The 16098-nt window shown below is 37.0% G+C and overlaps 1 annotated feature.

The window, feature by feature from the left end:
• Positions 5921-6466: an enhancer, noted in NCBI's record as "NANOG hESC enhancer chr1:190827140-190827685 (GRCh37/hg19 assembly coordinates)". NCBI's record gives its function as "activates a minimal SCP1, AML or CMV promoter by ChIP-STARR-seq in naive H9 embryonic stem cells {active_cell/tissue: H9 hESC(naive)}" and the evidence as "EXISTENCE:reporter gene assay evidence [ECO:0000049][PMID:30033119]".

Raw genomic sequence — 16098 nt, 5'->3', positions numbered from 1 at the left:
AGAATACAGGCAAACCACAGAGCTGTCTGTTTTGAGCTGAGGAAAGGGGTCCTGCCTCAAGGCCAGTTTGGTGGTAGCCACAGGGCAGGTGTTTTCCATGGCCCTCAATGCATTGCAGCCTAAAGATAAAAGACAGTTTCTATCTAAACTGAATAAGTCATGAGGCCTGGGACAGGGGTGCGATAATAAAGCAAATAATGTTCCCGCCTGCCCAGAACATGCAGCTGGTACAGCCCCATGCACTGAGAAGGGTTATTTTTACAAGTTCATAGGCTTGTTTGGGACCTAGGCATGTCTCTTTCCAAAGAGCTGGTCCAGAAATGCTGTGACCTATCTCCCTAATTGGACCTCCTCCCAAGGGAGTCCCACGGCATGAAACACCTAGCAACAACAACAACAACAACAATAACAACAACAACAACAACAATAACAACAACAAAATTGTTGGCACAGTGCTAGTGATCACAAGTAGCTTGCCCAATGCCCGGAAATGGACTTGACGAGGAGTCTTCTGTCTCCCCCTTGCACCATGGAACACAGCTGCAAACACCAGGAGACACAAAAGAGCCAAGCAGCTAAGGGCCTAGCTATCGCCTATTGTTTTCAAATGCCATCTACTGGATCACAGTTCAAATGACAACACTCAAAAACACTTGACTAATTCCACCTTCTGCAAAACCAAGGTCAAGAATTCAACAATGAATAAAGACCCTGTACAGAGGCTTAGCTATCTGAAAACTTTCAGAAGTGAAGCCAACTGATTATATTCAATTTACACCACAGTTAAAGCAATACAAACCCTCCCAGATGGAAAAGAATAAGCACAAGAACTCTGGAAATTCAAAAAACCAAAGTGTCTCCTTACCTCCAAACAAGCCCACTAGCTCCCCAGCAATGGTTTTTAGCCAGTCTGAAATGAAGGACATAAAATTCAGATTCTGGATGGCAAGGAAGTTCTTTAAGATTCAGGAGAAAGTTGGAACTCAATTTAAGGAAGCAAGGCAATTCAGTAAAATGATTCAAGAGTTGAAACATGAATAGCCATTTTTAAAAAAGATACAAACTGAAATATCTGAGCTAAAAAATTCACTCTGGAATGTCATGATTCAATCCCAAGTATTAATAGCAGAATAGACCAAGCTGAGAAAAGAATCTTTAAGACCAGGTCTTTGAATCAACTTAGATAAAAATAAAGAAAAAAAACAACTTAAGAAAAAGGAACATAACCTCTAAGAAATATGGGATTATGTAAAGTGACCAAATCTATGACTTATTGACATTCCTGAGAGAGTAGGAGAAAGAGTAACTTTGAAAATATATTTGAGGATATAACCCATGAAATTTTCTCTAGTCTCTCTAGTGAGATTGGCATGCAAATCAAAGAAATACAGAGAACCCCAGCCAAATTATATACAGCACAACCATCCTCAAAGCACAGTCATCACATGCACCAAGATCAATGAAGAAGAAAAATTCTTAAAGGCAGCTAAATAGAAGGTACCGTATGAGGCTACCAGCAGAACTCTGAGCGGAAATTTTAAAAGTTAGAGGAGATTGGGGACATACTTTTAGCATCCTTAAAGAAAAGAAATTGCAAAAAAGCATTTCATATCCTGCCAAAATAAGCTTCATAAGTGAAGGAGAAATATTAATAAAATCTTTCTCAAACAAGCAAATGCTGAGGGTATACGTTTCCACTAGACAAGCCTCACAAAAGGACCTTAAGGGAGTGCTAAACACAGAATCAAAAGAATGACACCTTCTACTACAAAAGCACACTAAAACACATAGCCCACAGGCACTATAAAGCAACCACATGATCAATCCTACATAACATCCAGCTAACAACACGATGACAGGATCAAATTCACACATGCCAATATTAACTTTGAATGTAAATGGGCTAAACCCCTCACTTAAAAGACAGAGAGTGGCAGGATAGAAAAAAAGACCCAATCATATGTTGTGTTCAAGACACCCCTCTCACATGCAATTACACCCACAGGCTCACACGAAAATGGTGGAGTAAGATCTATTATTGCAAATAGAAAACAAAAAAGAGCGGGAGTTGCTATTCTTATAACTAATAAAGCAGACTTTAAGACAATAAAATTAAGAAGGACAATGAAGGGCACCGCATAATAATAAAGGGTATAATCCAACAAGTCTTAACTATCCTAAATATATATGCCCCTAACACTAGAGCACCCAGATTCATAAAACAAGTTTCTCTTGGCATACAGAAAGACTTAGACAACTATACAGTAACAGTGTGATACGTCAACACCCCACAGAGAGTGTTAGACAGATCATGGAGGCAGAAAACTAATAAAGAATCCCTCAACTTAAACTTGACACTTGACCAGTTGGACCTAATAGACATCTAGGGAACACTCCACCCAACAACCACAGAATATACATTCTACTTATCTACACATGAAACATATTCTAATATGTATCACATTCTCAGTGTGTTAGTCTGTTCTCACAATACTATAGAGTAAAACCTGAGACTGGGTAATTTGTAGGGCAAATAGGTTTAATTGGCTCACAGTTCTCCAGGCTATACAGGGAGAATAATGCTGGCATCTTCTCAGCTTCTGGGGATCCCTCAGAGAATTTACAATCTTGGCAGAAAGTGAAGGAGAAGCAGGAATATCACATGGCCAGAGCAGGAGCTTGAGAGTGAATGGGAGGTGCTATATACTTTTAAATGACTAGACATCATGAGAACTCACTAACTTTCTGATATGGCTTGACTGTGTCCCCACCCAAATATCATCTGGAATTCCCAGGTGTTGTGGGAGTGACCCGGTGGGAGGTAATTGAATCACGGGGGCAGGTCTTTCCCGTACTGTTCTCATGATGGTGAATAAGTCTCACGAGATCTGATGGTTTTAAAAATGGAAATCTCCCCTCTCTTCTCTTTTCTGCCACCATGTGAGGCATGTCTTTCACCTTCTGACATGACTGTGATTCTCCCCAGCCATGTGGACTGAGTGGCTTAAACCTCTTTCTTTTGTAAATTCCCCAGTCTTGGGTATGTCTTTATCAGCATGTGAAAATGGACTCACAGAGTAAATTGGTACCACAAGTGGGGTGCTCCTGAAAAGATACCTGAAAATGTGGAAGCAACTTTGGAACTGGGTAAGAGGCAGAGGTTGGAACAATTTGGGGGGCTCATAAGACAGGGAAATGTAAGAAAGTTTGGAACTCCCTAAAGACTTATTGAATGGCTTTGATCAAAATGCTGGTAATTATATAGACAATGAAATTCAGGCTGAGGTGTTCTCAGATGGAGATGAAAAACTTGTTGGAAACTGGAGCAAATGTGACTCGTTATGTTTTAGCATAGAGACTGGTGGCATTTTGCCTTTGATCTACGAATTTGTGGAAGTTTGAACTTGAGAGAGATGTTTTAGGTTATCTGGCAGATGAAATTTCCAAGAAGCAAAGCATTCAATATGTGACTTGGTGCTGTTAAAGGCATTTAGATTTAAAAAAGAAATAGAGCATAAAAGTTTGGAAAATGTGCATCTTGACAATGTGATAGAAAATAAAATCCCATTTTCTGAGGAGAAATTCAAGCTGGCTGAAGAAATTTGCATAAGTAACAAGAAGCTGAATGTTAATCATCGAGATAATGGGGAAAATGTTTCCAGGGCATGTCAGAAACCTTTGCAGCAGCCCCTCTCATCACAGGCCTGGAGGTTTAGGAGGAAAAAAATATAGTTTCCTGGGCCAGGTCCAGGGTCCTTCTGCTGTGTGCAGTCTAGGGACTTGGTGCCTTAAGTCCCAGCTGCTCCAGATGTTACTAAAAGGGGCCAAGGTCCAGCTTGGGCTGTTGCTTCAGAGGGTGGAAGCCACAAGCCTTGGCAGCTTCCCTGTGATGTTGAGCTTGTAGGTGCACAGAAGTCAAGAACTGAGGTTTTGGAACCTTGGCCTAGATTTCAGAGGATGTATGGAAATGCCTGGATTCACAGGCAGAAGTTTGCTGCAGGGGTGGGACCCTCATGGAGTACCTCTGCTAGTGCAGTGCAGAAAGAAAATGTTGGTTTGGAGCCCCAACACAAAGTCCCTACTGGGGCACCACCTACTGGAGCTGTAAGAAGAAGACCAAAGTTCCCCAGACACCAGAATGGTAGATACACTGTCCGCTTGCACTGTGAACCTGGAAAAGCTGCAGACACTCAACACCAGCCTGTGAAAGCAACTAGGAGAGGGTGCTGTACCCTGCAAAGCCACAGGGGTGGAGCTGCCCAAGGCCATGGAACCACCTCTTGCATCAGCATGACCTGGATGTGAGACATAGAGTCAAAGGAAATCATTTTGGAGCTTTAATATTTGACTGCCCTGCTGGGTTTCAGACTTGCATGGGGCCGGTAGCCCCTTTGTTTTGGCCAATATCTCCCATTTGGAATGGCTGTATTTGCCCAATGCCTTTATCCTCATTGTATCTAGGAAGTAACTAACTTGCTTTTGATTTTACAGGCTGTTAGGCAGAAGGGACTTGCCTTGTCTCAGATGACACATTGGACTGTAGATTTTGAGTTAATGTTGAAATGAGTTAAGGCTTTGGGGGACTGTTGGGAAGGTATGATTGGTTTTGAAATGTGACGACATGAGATTTGGGAGGGGCCAGAGTTAGAATGATATGGTTTGGCTGTGTCCTCACTCAAATCTCCTCTTGAATTCCCACATATTGTGGGAGGGACCCAGTGGTAGGTAATTGAATCATGGGGGCAGGTCTTTCCCATGCTGTTCTCCTAATAGTGAATAAGTCTCATGAGATCTGATGATTCTGTAAGGGGATGCTTCTCTGCACAAGCTTTCTCTTTGCCTACTGCCACCCACGTAAGATGTGACTTGCTCCTCCTTGCCTTCTACCATGATTGTGAGGCCTCCCCAGCCATGTGGAATTGTAAGACCATTAAACCTCTTTCTTTTATAAATTGCCCAGCCTTGGGTATGTCTTTATCAACAGCATGAAAATGGATTAATACACTATCATGAAGACAGTACAAGGAGGGATTGTGGTAAACCATTCATGAGAAATCTGCTTCCATGAATCAATCACCTCCCACCAGGTCCCACCTCCAACACTGGGGATTACATTTCAATATGAGATCTAGGGAGGGACACACATTCTAACTATATCATTCTGCCCCTTGACCCTCCCAAATATCATGTCCTTCCCACACTTCAAAATACAATCATGCCTTGCCAAATAATCCCCAACATCTTAATGCATTCCAGCCCTAACTGACAAGTTCAAAGTCTCATCTGAGGCAATGCAAGTCCCTTCCACCTATGAGCCTATAAAATAAAAAAGAAGTTAGTTACTTCCAAAATACCACGGGAGTTCAAGCACTGTGTAAATATTCCCCTTCCAAAAAGGAGAAGTTGGCCAAAGGAAAGGGGCTACAGGTCCCACACAAGTCCAAAACCCAGCAGGGCTGTCAATAAATCTTCTTTATAACTCTATAGTAATATCTTTTGATTCCATGTCCCAAATCCCAGGCACATTGACATGAGAGGTAGGCTCCCAGGGCCTTGGACGGCTCCACTCCTGTGGCTTTTCAGGGTTCAGCCCTAGAGGCTGCCTTCACAGATTGTGGAATGCCTGCAGCTCTTTCATGCAAAGAGTGCAAGCTGTCAGCAGATCTGCCATTCTGGGCTCTGGAGTGAGGTGGCCCTTGTCTCATAGCTCAACCAGACAATGCCCCAGTGGGAACTCAGTGCGGGTAGGGGTTCTGGCCCCACATTTTCCTTTGGATTGCCTTAGTAGAGGTTCTATATGAGGGATCTGCCCCTAGAGCACACTTCTTCCTAGACATACAAGCTTTTACATACATCTTCTGTAATCTAGGCAGCGATTCCCAAGCCTAATTCGCTCTTGCACTCTGTGTACCCAGAGGCTTAACACCATGTGGAAGCTTCTAAGGATTATGGTTTGCACCCTTTGGAGCTGTGGCCCCAGCTGTACTTGGGTCCTTTTGATCTATGGCTGGAGGTGGAGTGGCCAGGATACAGAAAGCCATGTACAAGGCCGTGGAGGGGTGAGGGGTCCTGGGACTGGCCATGAAACCATTCTATCCTCCTATGCCTCAGGGTCTGTGATGAGAAAGGATGCACCTTAGATCTCTGAAATGCCTTTGAGGCCTTTTCCCTGTTGTCTTGACTATTAGCACTTTGCTCCTTTTTCTTATGCAAATTTTCACAGCCTGCTTGAATCCCTCCCCTGAAAATGTGCTTTTCTTTTCTACTACATGACCAGGCTGCAAATTTTCCAAACTTTTATTCCTTGCGTCTCTTTTAAATGTAAATTCCACACTGCTCAGAGAAATAAGCAATGACACAAACAAATGGAAAAATATTCCACACTCATATATAGGGAGAATCAATGTTATTAAAATGGCCACACTGCCCAAAGCAATTCATAGATTCGATGATATTGCTATCAAACTACCAATGGTATTCTTTACAGAATTGCAGAAAACTATTTTAAAATTTATATAAAAACAAAAAGAGCCTTAATGATCAAAGCAATACTAAGCAAAAATAACAAAGCTAGAGGCATCACACTACCCAACTTCAAATTATACTACAGGGCTACAGTAACCAACACAGCATGGTAATCGTACAAAAACAGATACATAGACCAATGGGACAGAAGAGAGAGCCCAGAAATCAGGTCACACATCTGCAAGTATCTGATCTTTGACAAAGCTGAAAAAAAAAAAAGCAATCAGAAAAGATTTCCCTGTTCAGTAAATGCTGCTGGGATAACTGACTAGCCATACACAGAAGATTGAAACTGGACTCCTTGCTTACACCATATACAAAAATCAAATCAAAATGGATTAAAAACTTAAATGTAAAACCCAAAACTATAAGAATCCTGGAAGACAACCTAGACAATGTCATTCAGTACATAGTAATGAGCAAAGATTTCATTATAAAGACATAAAAAGGAATAGCAACAAAAGTAAAAATGGACAAATGGGATCAAATTAAGCTAAAGAGCTTCTGTACAGCAAAAGAAACTATCCACAGAATAAATAGACATCCTACAGTATGGGAGAAAATATTTGCCAACCATGGATCTGACAAAGGTCTAATATCCAGCATCTGTAAGGAAATTAAACAAATTTCCAAAAACAAAAAATTAAAAAGTGGGCAAAGGACATGACATGAACAGACACTTCTCAAAAGAAGATATACATGTGGCAAAGAAATGTATAAAAAACTCTCAATATCACTGATCAATAGAAAAATACAAATCAAAATGACAATGTACAATCTCATACCAGTCAGAATGACTATTATTAAAAAGTTAAAAAATAACAGGTGCTGGCAAGTTTGTAGAAAAAAAGGAATGTTTATACACTATTAGTGGGAGTGTAAATTAGTTCAACCATTGTGGAAAACTGTGGTGATTCCTCAAAGACCTATAAATAGAACTACCATTTGACCCAGCAATCCCATTACTTGGTATATACCCAGAGGAATATAAATAATTATATCATAAAGACACATGCACACATATGTTCATTGCGGCACTATTCACAATAGCAAAGATATGAAATCAACCTAAATGCCCATTAATGGTAGACTGGATAAAGAAAATGTGGTACTTATACACCATGGAATACCACATTGCTATGAAAAATAAGATCATGGCCTCTGCAGGAACATGTATGGAGCTGGAAGCCATTATTCTTTGCAAACTAACAGAGAAACATAAAACAAAATATTGCATGTTCTTACTTATAAGTGGGAGCTAAAAGATGAGAACACATGAACACATAGAAGGGAACAACAGACACTGGGGCCTACCAAAGGGCAGAGGTTTGTGGGAGGGAGAGGATCGGGGAAAATAACAAATGAGTATTAGGCTTAATACTGAATGATGAAATAATCTGTACAACAAAACCCCCATGACATGAGTTTACTCATATAGTAAATGTGCACATGTACTCCTGAACTTAAAATAGAAGTTAAAATAACCAACTAACTAATCAACTAAATAAATAAATATGAGTACCAGCTTTAAGTCATTTCTTTGACGCTGCTTTGAGCATAGGTTGTCAGAAGCATCCAGGCCACATTTTGAATGTCTTGCTGCTTAGAAATTTATTCTTCCAGATACCTAAATCATCACTGAAAGTTCAAAGTTCCACATATTCCTAGGACAGGTGCACAATGCAGTAAAATTCCTTGCTAAGATGTAACAAAAATTACCTTTGCTCCAGTTTCCAATAAGTTCTTTATTTATATCTGAGACCTCATCATCCTGGCCCTCACTGTCCATATCACTATCAACATTTTGGTCACAACCATTTAATCAGTCTCTAGGAAGTTCTAAACTTTCCCTTATTTTCCTGTCTTTTTCTGAGCCTTTCAACGACTTCCAACTTCTGCCTGTTACCTAGTTCCAAAGCTGCTTCCACGTTTTCAGGTATCTTTATAGAAATTTCCCACTCCTTAATTCAAATTTTCTATGTTAGTGCATTCTCATATTTCTATGAAGACATAGCTGATATTAGGTAATTTATAAAAACAAAGAGGTTTAATTGGCTCGCAGTTCTGCAGGCTGTACAGGAAGAATAAAGCTGGTGTCCACTCAGCTTTGAGGAGCCCTCAGGAAACTTACAATCATGGCAGAAGGTGACGGGTGGGCAGGAACATCACATGGCTAGAACATGAGCAAAAGAGTGAGGTGCTACACACTTTTAAATGACCAGACCTTAGGAGAATTCATTCACTATCATGGGGACTGTGTAAAAAGGGATTGTAGTAAACTATTCATGAGAAATCTGCTCCTGCCCCCCATGATTCAGTCACCTTCTACAATGCCCCACTTCCAGTTTGGGAATTACATTTTAATATGAGATTTGGGCAGGGACACACATCCAAGATATATCACTTGGTCATAAAGCAAGTCTCAATAAATTCCAAAAAAATAAAATCATAGCAAGCACACTCTCAGACCACAGTAAAAGAAAAATAGAAATCAATATCAAGAAGAAGATCTCTCAAAACTACACAAACACATGAAAATTAAACAACGTGGCCTGAAAAACTCCTGGATGAACATAAAAATTAAGGCAGAAAGTTAAAAAAAATTAAATTAGTAAATATAAGGAACAAACTTGCCAAAATCTCTGGAATGCAGCCAAAGCAGTATTAAGAGAAAAGACGATAGCCCTAAAATGCCTTCATCAAGAAGTTAGAAAGATCACAAGTTAGTAATCTAACTGCATCTAAAGGAACTAGAAAAAAATAACAAACCAATTCCAATGCTAGCAGAAGAAAACAAATAACTAAAATTAGATAAGAACCTAATAAAATTGAGATGCAAAAACCTATACAAAAGACCAATGAAACTAAGAGTTGATTCTTTGGTATAATAAATAAGACTAATAGACCCCTAGCTCGATGAACAAAAATAAAGAAAGAGAGGATCCAAATAAGCACAGTCAGAAAGAACAAAGGCAATATTTCAACTGATCCCATAGAAATACAGAAGATCCCTAGAGACTACTACTGTGAACAACTCTATGCATATAAATTAGAATACCTAGAGGAAATGCCTAAATTCCCTAGAAGCACACAATCTCCCAAGATTCCAAAGATTAAATCAGGAAGAGGTGGAAACCATGAATAGACCAATATCAACGTGTGACATTGAATTAATAGCAAAGAACCTAGCAACTAATAAAAAAGCCCTGGACCAGATGTATTCAGAGCCAAATTTTACAAGATATACAGAGAAGAACGGATACCAATCCTTTGAAACTCTTTTAGAAAATAAAGGAAGAGGGGCTCCTCTCTAAGTCATTCTATGAAGCTGGCATCAGTCTGATACCAAAATCAGACTGATTTTGTGTTTATTGGCAGAAACACAATAAAAACTGTGAATCTAAGACCAATAACATTAATAAATATAGATGCAAAAATCCTCATCAAGACATTACCAAACCAAATTCAGCAACACATCAAAATTTAATTTACCACAATGGAGTAGGCTTTCTTTCTTTGATATAAGGTTGGTTGAACATATGCAAATGAATAAATGTGATTCACCACATAAACAGAATTAAATCAAAACCATATGATCATCTCAATATATGCAGAAAAAGCTTTCAATAAAATTCAATATTCTTTCATTGTTAAAACATACTTCAAAGTAAGCACCATCAATGACAAGCCCACAGTCAACAGCATACTAAATGAGCAAAAGCTCAAACCATTCCCACTGAGAGCTGGAACAAGACAAGGATGCCCACTCTTACCACTCTTATTCAACATAGTACTTGAAGTCCTAGCAGAAGCAACCAGGCTATAGAAAGAAATAAAAGACATCTAAATAGGAAAAGAAAAAGTCACACTATCTCTGTTTGCTGATGATATGATTCTCCATATGGAAAATCCTAAACATGCTCCCAAAAGACTTCTATAACTTGTAAATGACTTTGGTAGAATTTCAGTATACAAAATCAATGCACAAAAATCAGTAGCATTTCTATACACCAACAATATCTAGGCTGAAAGTGAAATCAAGAACACAGTTACCCATAGAATAGCCATACAGAAAATGAAACACCTAGGAATAAAGCTAAACAAAGAGATAAAAGATCTCTGCAAGGAGGATTATATAGCACTGCTGAAAGAAATCAGAGAAAATACAAATAAATGAAAAAATATTCCATGCTCAAGGATTTTAAGAATCAATATTGTGAAAATGACCATACTACCCAAAACAATTTACAGATTCAATGCTATCCCTATCAAACTACCAATGACATTCTTCACAGAATTGGGATAAACTATTCTAAAACTCATGTAGAGCCCAAAATAAGCCTACATAGCTTAAGCAATCCTAAGCAAAAAGAAGAAAGCCAGAGGCATCACATTACCTGACTTCAAACTATACTACAAGACCACAGTAACTAAAACAGTTGGTATGCGTGTAAGACAGAAACAAAGACCAAGAGAACAGAAGAATATCCAGAATAAAGCCATGCACCTACAACCATCTGATCTTCGACAAGTCCAACAAAAACAAGCAATGGGAAAAGGACCCCCTATTGAATAAATGGTGCTGTGGAAACTGGCTAGCCATATGCAAAAGATTGAAGCTGGACCCCTACCTCTCCTCCTCCACAAATTAACTCAGAGTGGATCAGAATTTAAATGTAGTACCTTATACCATAAAAATCCTGGAAGACAATCCAGGAAATACTTTTCTCAACATTGGCTTTAGCAAAAAGAATTTTATTAAGTCCCCAAAGGCAATTACAACAAAAATAAAAATTGACAAGTGGGAACTAATTCAACAAACGAGCTTCTGAACAGCATAAGAAACTATCAACAGAGTAGATAGACAACCTAAAGAATGGGAGAAGATATTTGCAAATAATACATCAAACAAAGCCCTAATTTCTAGAATCTGTAGGTAAGTTAAACAAATCAACAAGCAAAAAAAGAAATAACCCCCCCAAAAGAAAATGCGCAAAGAACATGAAAAGACACTTCTCAAAAGAAATCATACAAGTGACCAACACGCACATTGAAAAAAATGTTCAGCATCACTAATCATCAGAGAAATGAAAATCAAAACCACAATGAGATGCCATTTCACACTAGTCAGAATAGCAATTATTAAAAAGTTAAAAAATAACAGATGCTGAGAAAAGGAAAAGGAAAAGGTAAAGAAAACACTGATACCCTGTTAGGGGGAATGCAGATTAGTTCAGCCACTTTGGAAAGCAGTCTGGAGATTTCTCAAGAAACTTAAAACAGCACTACAATTTGACCCAGCAATATTATTACTGGGTATACACTCAAAGGGAAATAAATCATTCTCATTTGTGCATTACTGCACCATTCCCAGTAGCATACATGGAATCAACCCAGGTGCCCATGAATAGCAGATTGGATAAAGGAAATGTGGTACATATACACCACGAAATACTATGCTGCCATAAAAAGAGTGAAATCATGTTCTTTGCAGCAATATGGATGGAGCTGAAGAACATAATCTTAAGAAGATTAATACAGAAACAGAAAAGCAAATACTACGTATTCTCACTTATATGTGACAGCTAAACATTAAGCACACATGGACATACATATAGAAACAATAGACATTGTATACTACTAGAATAAGGAGAGGAGGTAGTAGGTTAAAAAACCACCTACCAGGTACTATTCTCACTTCTTGTGTGATTCATACACCAAACCTCAGAATCACACAATAGTCTTGTGCGAGGAAACCTGTGCATGCACCCCTGTATCTAAAATAAAAGTTAATTAAAAAAAGAAAAAAAATGTGGCATATATATCCCATGGAATAATAGTCATTAAAATACCATGAAAGCCTGTCTTTTGTAGCAACATTGATTGAACTGAAGGTCGTTATCTTAACTGAAATAGCTCAGAAACAGAAAGTCAAATACGGCATGTTTTCACTTAAAGATGTGAGCTAAACCGTGGGCACAAATGAATATAAGGTGGGGAATAATAGACACCGGAGACTCCAAAAGGTGGTAGGGTGGGAGAATAATAAGCAATAAAAAATTACCTATTAGGTACAATGTACACCATTCACATGAAGGATTTATTAATAGCCCAGACTTCACCACTACACAATATATCCATGTAATAAAACTGCACTTGTACCCCCTAAATATATAAAAAAAAAATTGAAAGCATGCATCAATTCCATCCAAAAAATATATGGTGAATGGATAAGCAAATTGTGGTATATGCATAAATTAGAATATTACTAATAAAAATGTCCAAAAAAGAATAAATGTAAAAACACAGATGAATCTCAAAAGTAGTATGCTGAATCAAAGAAAGTAGAAACAAAGAATCCACACATTCTGATTCCATGTATATTTGAAATTCTACATAATGCATAATAATCTAAGGTCACAAAAAATTAATGAATCAATATTGTATGAGGTTGGGGTGCGGGAAAATTTGCAACTAAACAATCATCTATCATCATTTTGGGAAGGTAGAAACATTCTAAATTTGATTGTCTTTGTGGTTAGAAGGGAGTATATATTGGCAAAATTATTTAAAACACCCATTATACATGTGTGCAGAATATTTTATTAAATTGTACTTCAACAAAGTTGATTAAAATCAGCCAACTAATATCAAAATAACATAAAAAAAACTAATAGTTTGAATACATACAGGGAAGGCATTTGTAAAATTTAAGATAATTTTAACAAATTAGTGGATAGTGTTTGTTGATAAAAACTAGAAGAAACATATTATTTGGTAATATTTAATATAATTTTAACGTAAAAACTACCAGTGAACTATAAATATAAAGACATATCATAAATAAATGACAATTATGCAGAAAAAAGACAAAATACTACACTTATTAAATATTGAAAATATTTTTCCTGAGATTAAATAAAACAGGCAAGAAGGTTTTACTTTGATTGCAATACCTCTACTTCTATTCAAGGCCAAAATAGTTTATGTAAGTAAAAAGATGGAGCATGAAGAAGGTATAAAGTGTCCTTCTCAGTGATAGAATTATGTTTGTAAGAAATGTCAATGAAATCTATGAAAACTCCATGAGAATTAATAAATAAATTAAGCAAGGTATATGAATGTAAGATCAATACACAATAATTAGTGTGCTTCTATATACCAGCAATGAACGATTACAAAATCTACTGTGAAAGTCCCATAGTTATAAAAATTATAATTTTCAAAATTTAGGAATAAATATAAATATATGCAAGTTCACTAGATAGGGTCACAAGATATCATTAAAAGAAAATTTTTAAAGGCAAATGAAAAGAGCTATAACATGTTTGAAGTTTAGGGCGACTGATCATTTTTATATTAGGAAATATCCTTAAATTGATATATTAGATGCAATGCAATTTTAATCATCATCCAAGTAGGGTTTCATTTATGGTGTGTGTGTGTGTGTGTGTATTGCAAACTGACAAAGAAAATTAAAAATAAAGTTGAAGATGAGAACAAGGTTAGAGGACTTATATTTGCCAATCTCTAAAACTTATAATATTGCTACAGTAATTAAAATTATATAGTATTGGTAGAAATATATCTAAATGGACCCATGGAAAAGAATGTTGTACAGGAATATATATATATATTTACCTGATTTGTGCCAAAAAGAGCCATTGGAATCCAGAAAAAAAGGAATCATATTTTCAATAAAAGCAGTTTGACAATTTGACTATCTGTATGCAAAGAAGGAAAAATTAATCTCATTTCCTAGGATCTTATGCTGTATATGAAAATCAATTCCAGATGAATTGTAGACTTCATGTGAGACATAAAATAACAAGTTTTCTAGAAGACAGTATAGAAAAATATGATCGTGAACTTTACATAGGCAAACTTTTCTTAAACAGGAGGAAGCAAACGTTAACGCTGAACTAAACATTGATGAATTTTACTTCATTAAAATTAATGACCTCTGCTCCTCAGAAAGCATTATTAAAAGAAAGAAAATGAAAGCCAGAAAATGGTAGATGATCGTCTCATTGCATAAGGCAAAAAAGACTAGTATCCAGAATATACAATGAAGAGTAAAAACCTGTCTAGAACTAAAGGAGTGAAAATCAACTTGAACTGAAAACAGAAAAAGCAACTTTACCATTAATCACAACAGAAGGGCAGACCCAGATAAAGCCAGCACAAAATTAACTGCAAGTGCTGTTTGTCCCAAAGTCCTGCAGCAGCTGTGAAATACTGCAATAATCCTTTCTTTAATGCCTAATGCTTTTTTTTTTTTCTCAATGACATCCTAGAGCCACTTTGCCAGTCCCGTCTAATACTGGTAATACCTAATCACTAAGCTGTCCTTGCCTCATGACAGTACCCAATCCGTAGTTAATCTCTGCTTCTAAACCCACCTCAGGTACAGAGACGAATCAGAATTGACTCTTACTTTCCTTAGATCCTCCTAAGAATTATTTGGTGAGAAGCCAAACCTTACAAAAGAGGTTTCCCTAATCCCTCTTATGGAGTGGGATTTTGTAGTTCCTCTGGAATTCCTGTCTTGCTTTATCGGATCAGTAAATCTAACTTTGTCAGACTGTGTTCTTTTCTCTGGTGGACTTTGATTTATTAGGCTTTTGCAAATAATAATCACAGAAAAAAATCAATGATAAAAAGTGCAGACAACAAGAGATATATTCATTACTCATTAGGAAAGGGGAAATAAAATCCACAATAAGATACAGCTATGTACTCCCTAGGATAGCTAACGTTTAAAAGCTGAAAATACCAAAAGTTGGAGGGCGTGTGGAATAACTGTATCTTTCACACTGTTTTGTGGAGTGTGAATTGTTGCAACCTCTTTGGAATGTTGATTATTATTATCTTCCCAGGTTGAATATAGGTATGCCCTATGATCAAGTGATTCCAGTCCCAGCTATACCTCTAATAAAATTCTCTCTCTCTATATATATATATATATGCAAAAACTACATTCATGTAAAACAATACTTATGACAGCAATAGTTATAATAGCCTCACACCAGAACAACCAAAATGTCCATCAACAGTAAAATGCATAACTACATTATAGGATATACATAAAACTGGACAATAAAGATCAATGAACTTCTGTTACTTGCAGCAACATTAATGGATATCTCACATATTTTAATGAGTAAAAGAAGACCAAAGTAAAGGTCTACTTTATTCCTAACAACACAGGAATAAATGTTTTAATTCCAGAACAGGATACCATGGAGAATGTATAGTTCCATTTATATGAAAGTTGATAGCATATAAATCATATTTATGTTGATATATGTTTGGTTCAATAGTGATTATGAAGACAAGCATGACTTGTGAGGTGCTGATTATCTATAACAATCTAGGAAGTTGTAATAATGATGTCTGTACTTAGTGACAATTCTCTGAATTTGACATTAATAATTTGACAATTATCTGAAGTTTGAGCATGTAAAAATACTTGTGTTACATATTAAATAATAAAATGAGAAAGATTTAAAAATTGTTAGATGGTAGCTACATGATGAATAAATAATACAATGTTTTGGAGTTTCATAAATG

Source organism: Homo sapiens, chromosome 1 (genome assembly GCF_000001405.40).
Source record: "Homo sapiens chromosome 1, GRCh38.p14 Primary Assembly".
Lineage (NCBI taxonomy): Eukaryota > Metazoa > Chordata > Mammalia > Primates > Hominidae > Homo > Homo sapiens.
Note: the sequence above shows the minus strand (reverse complement) of the source record. Positions and strands in the feature narration are given on the sequence as shown.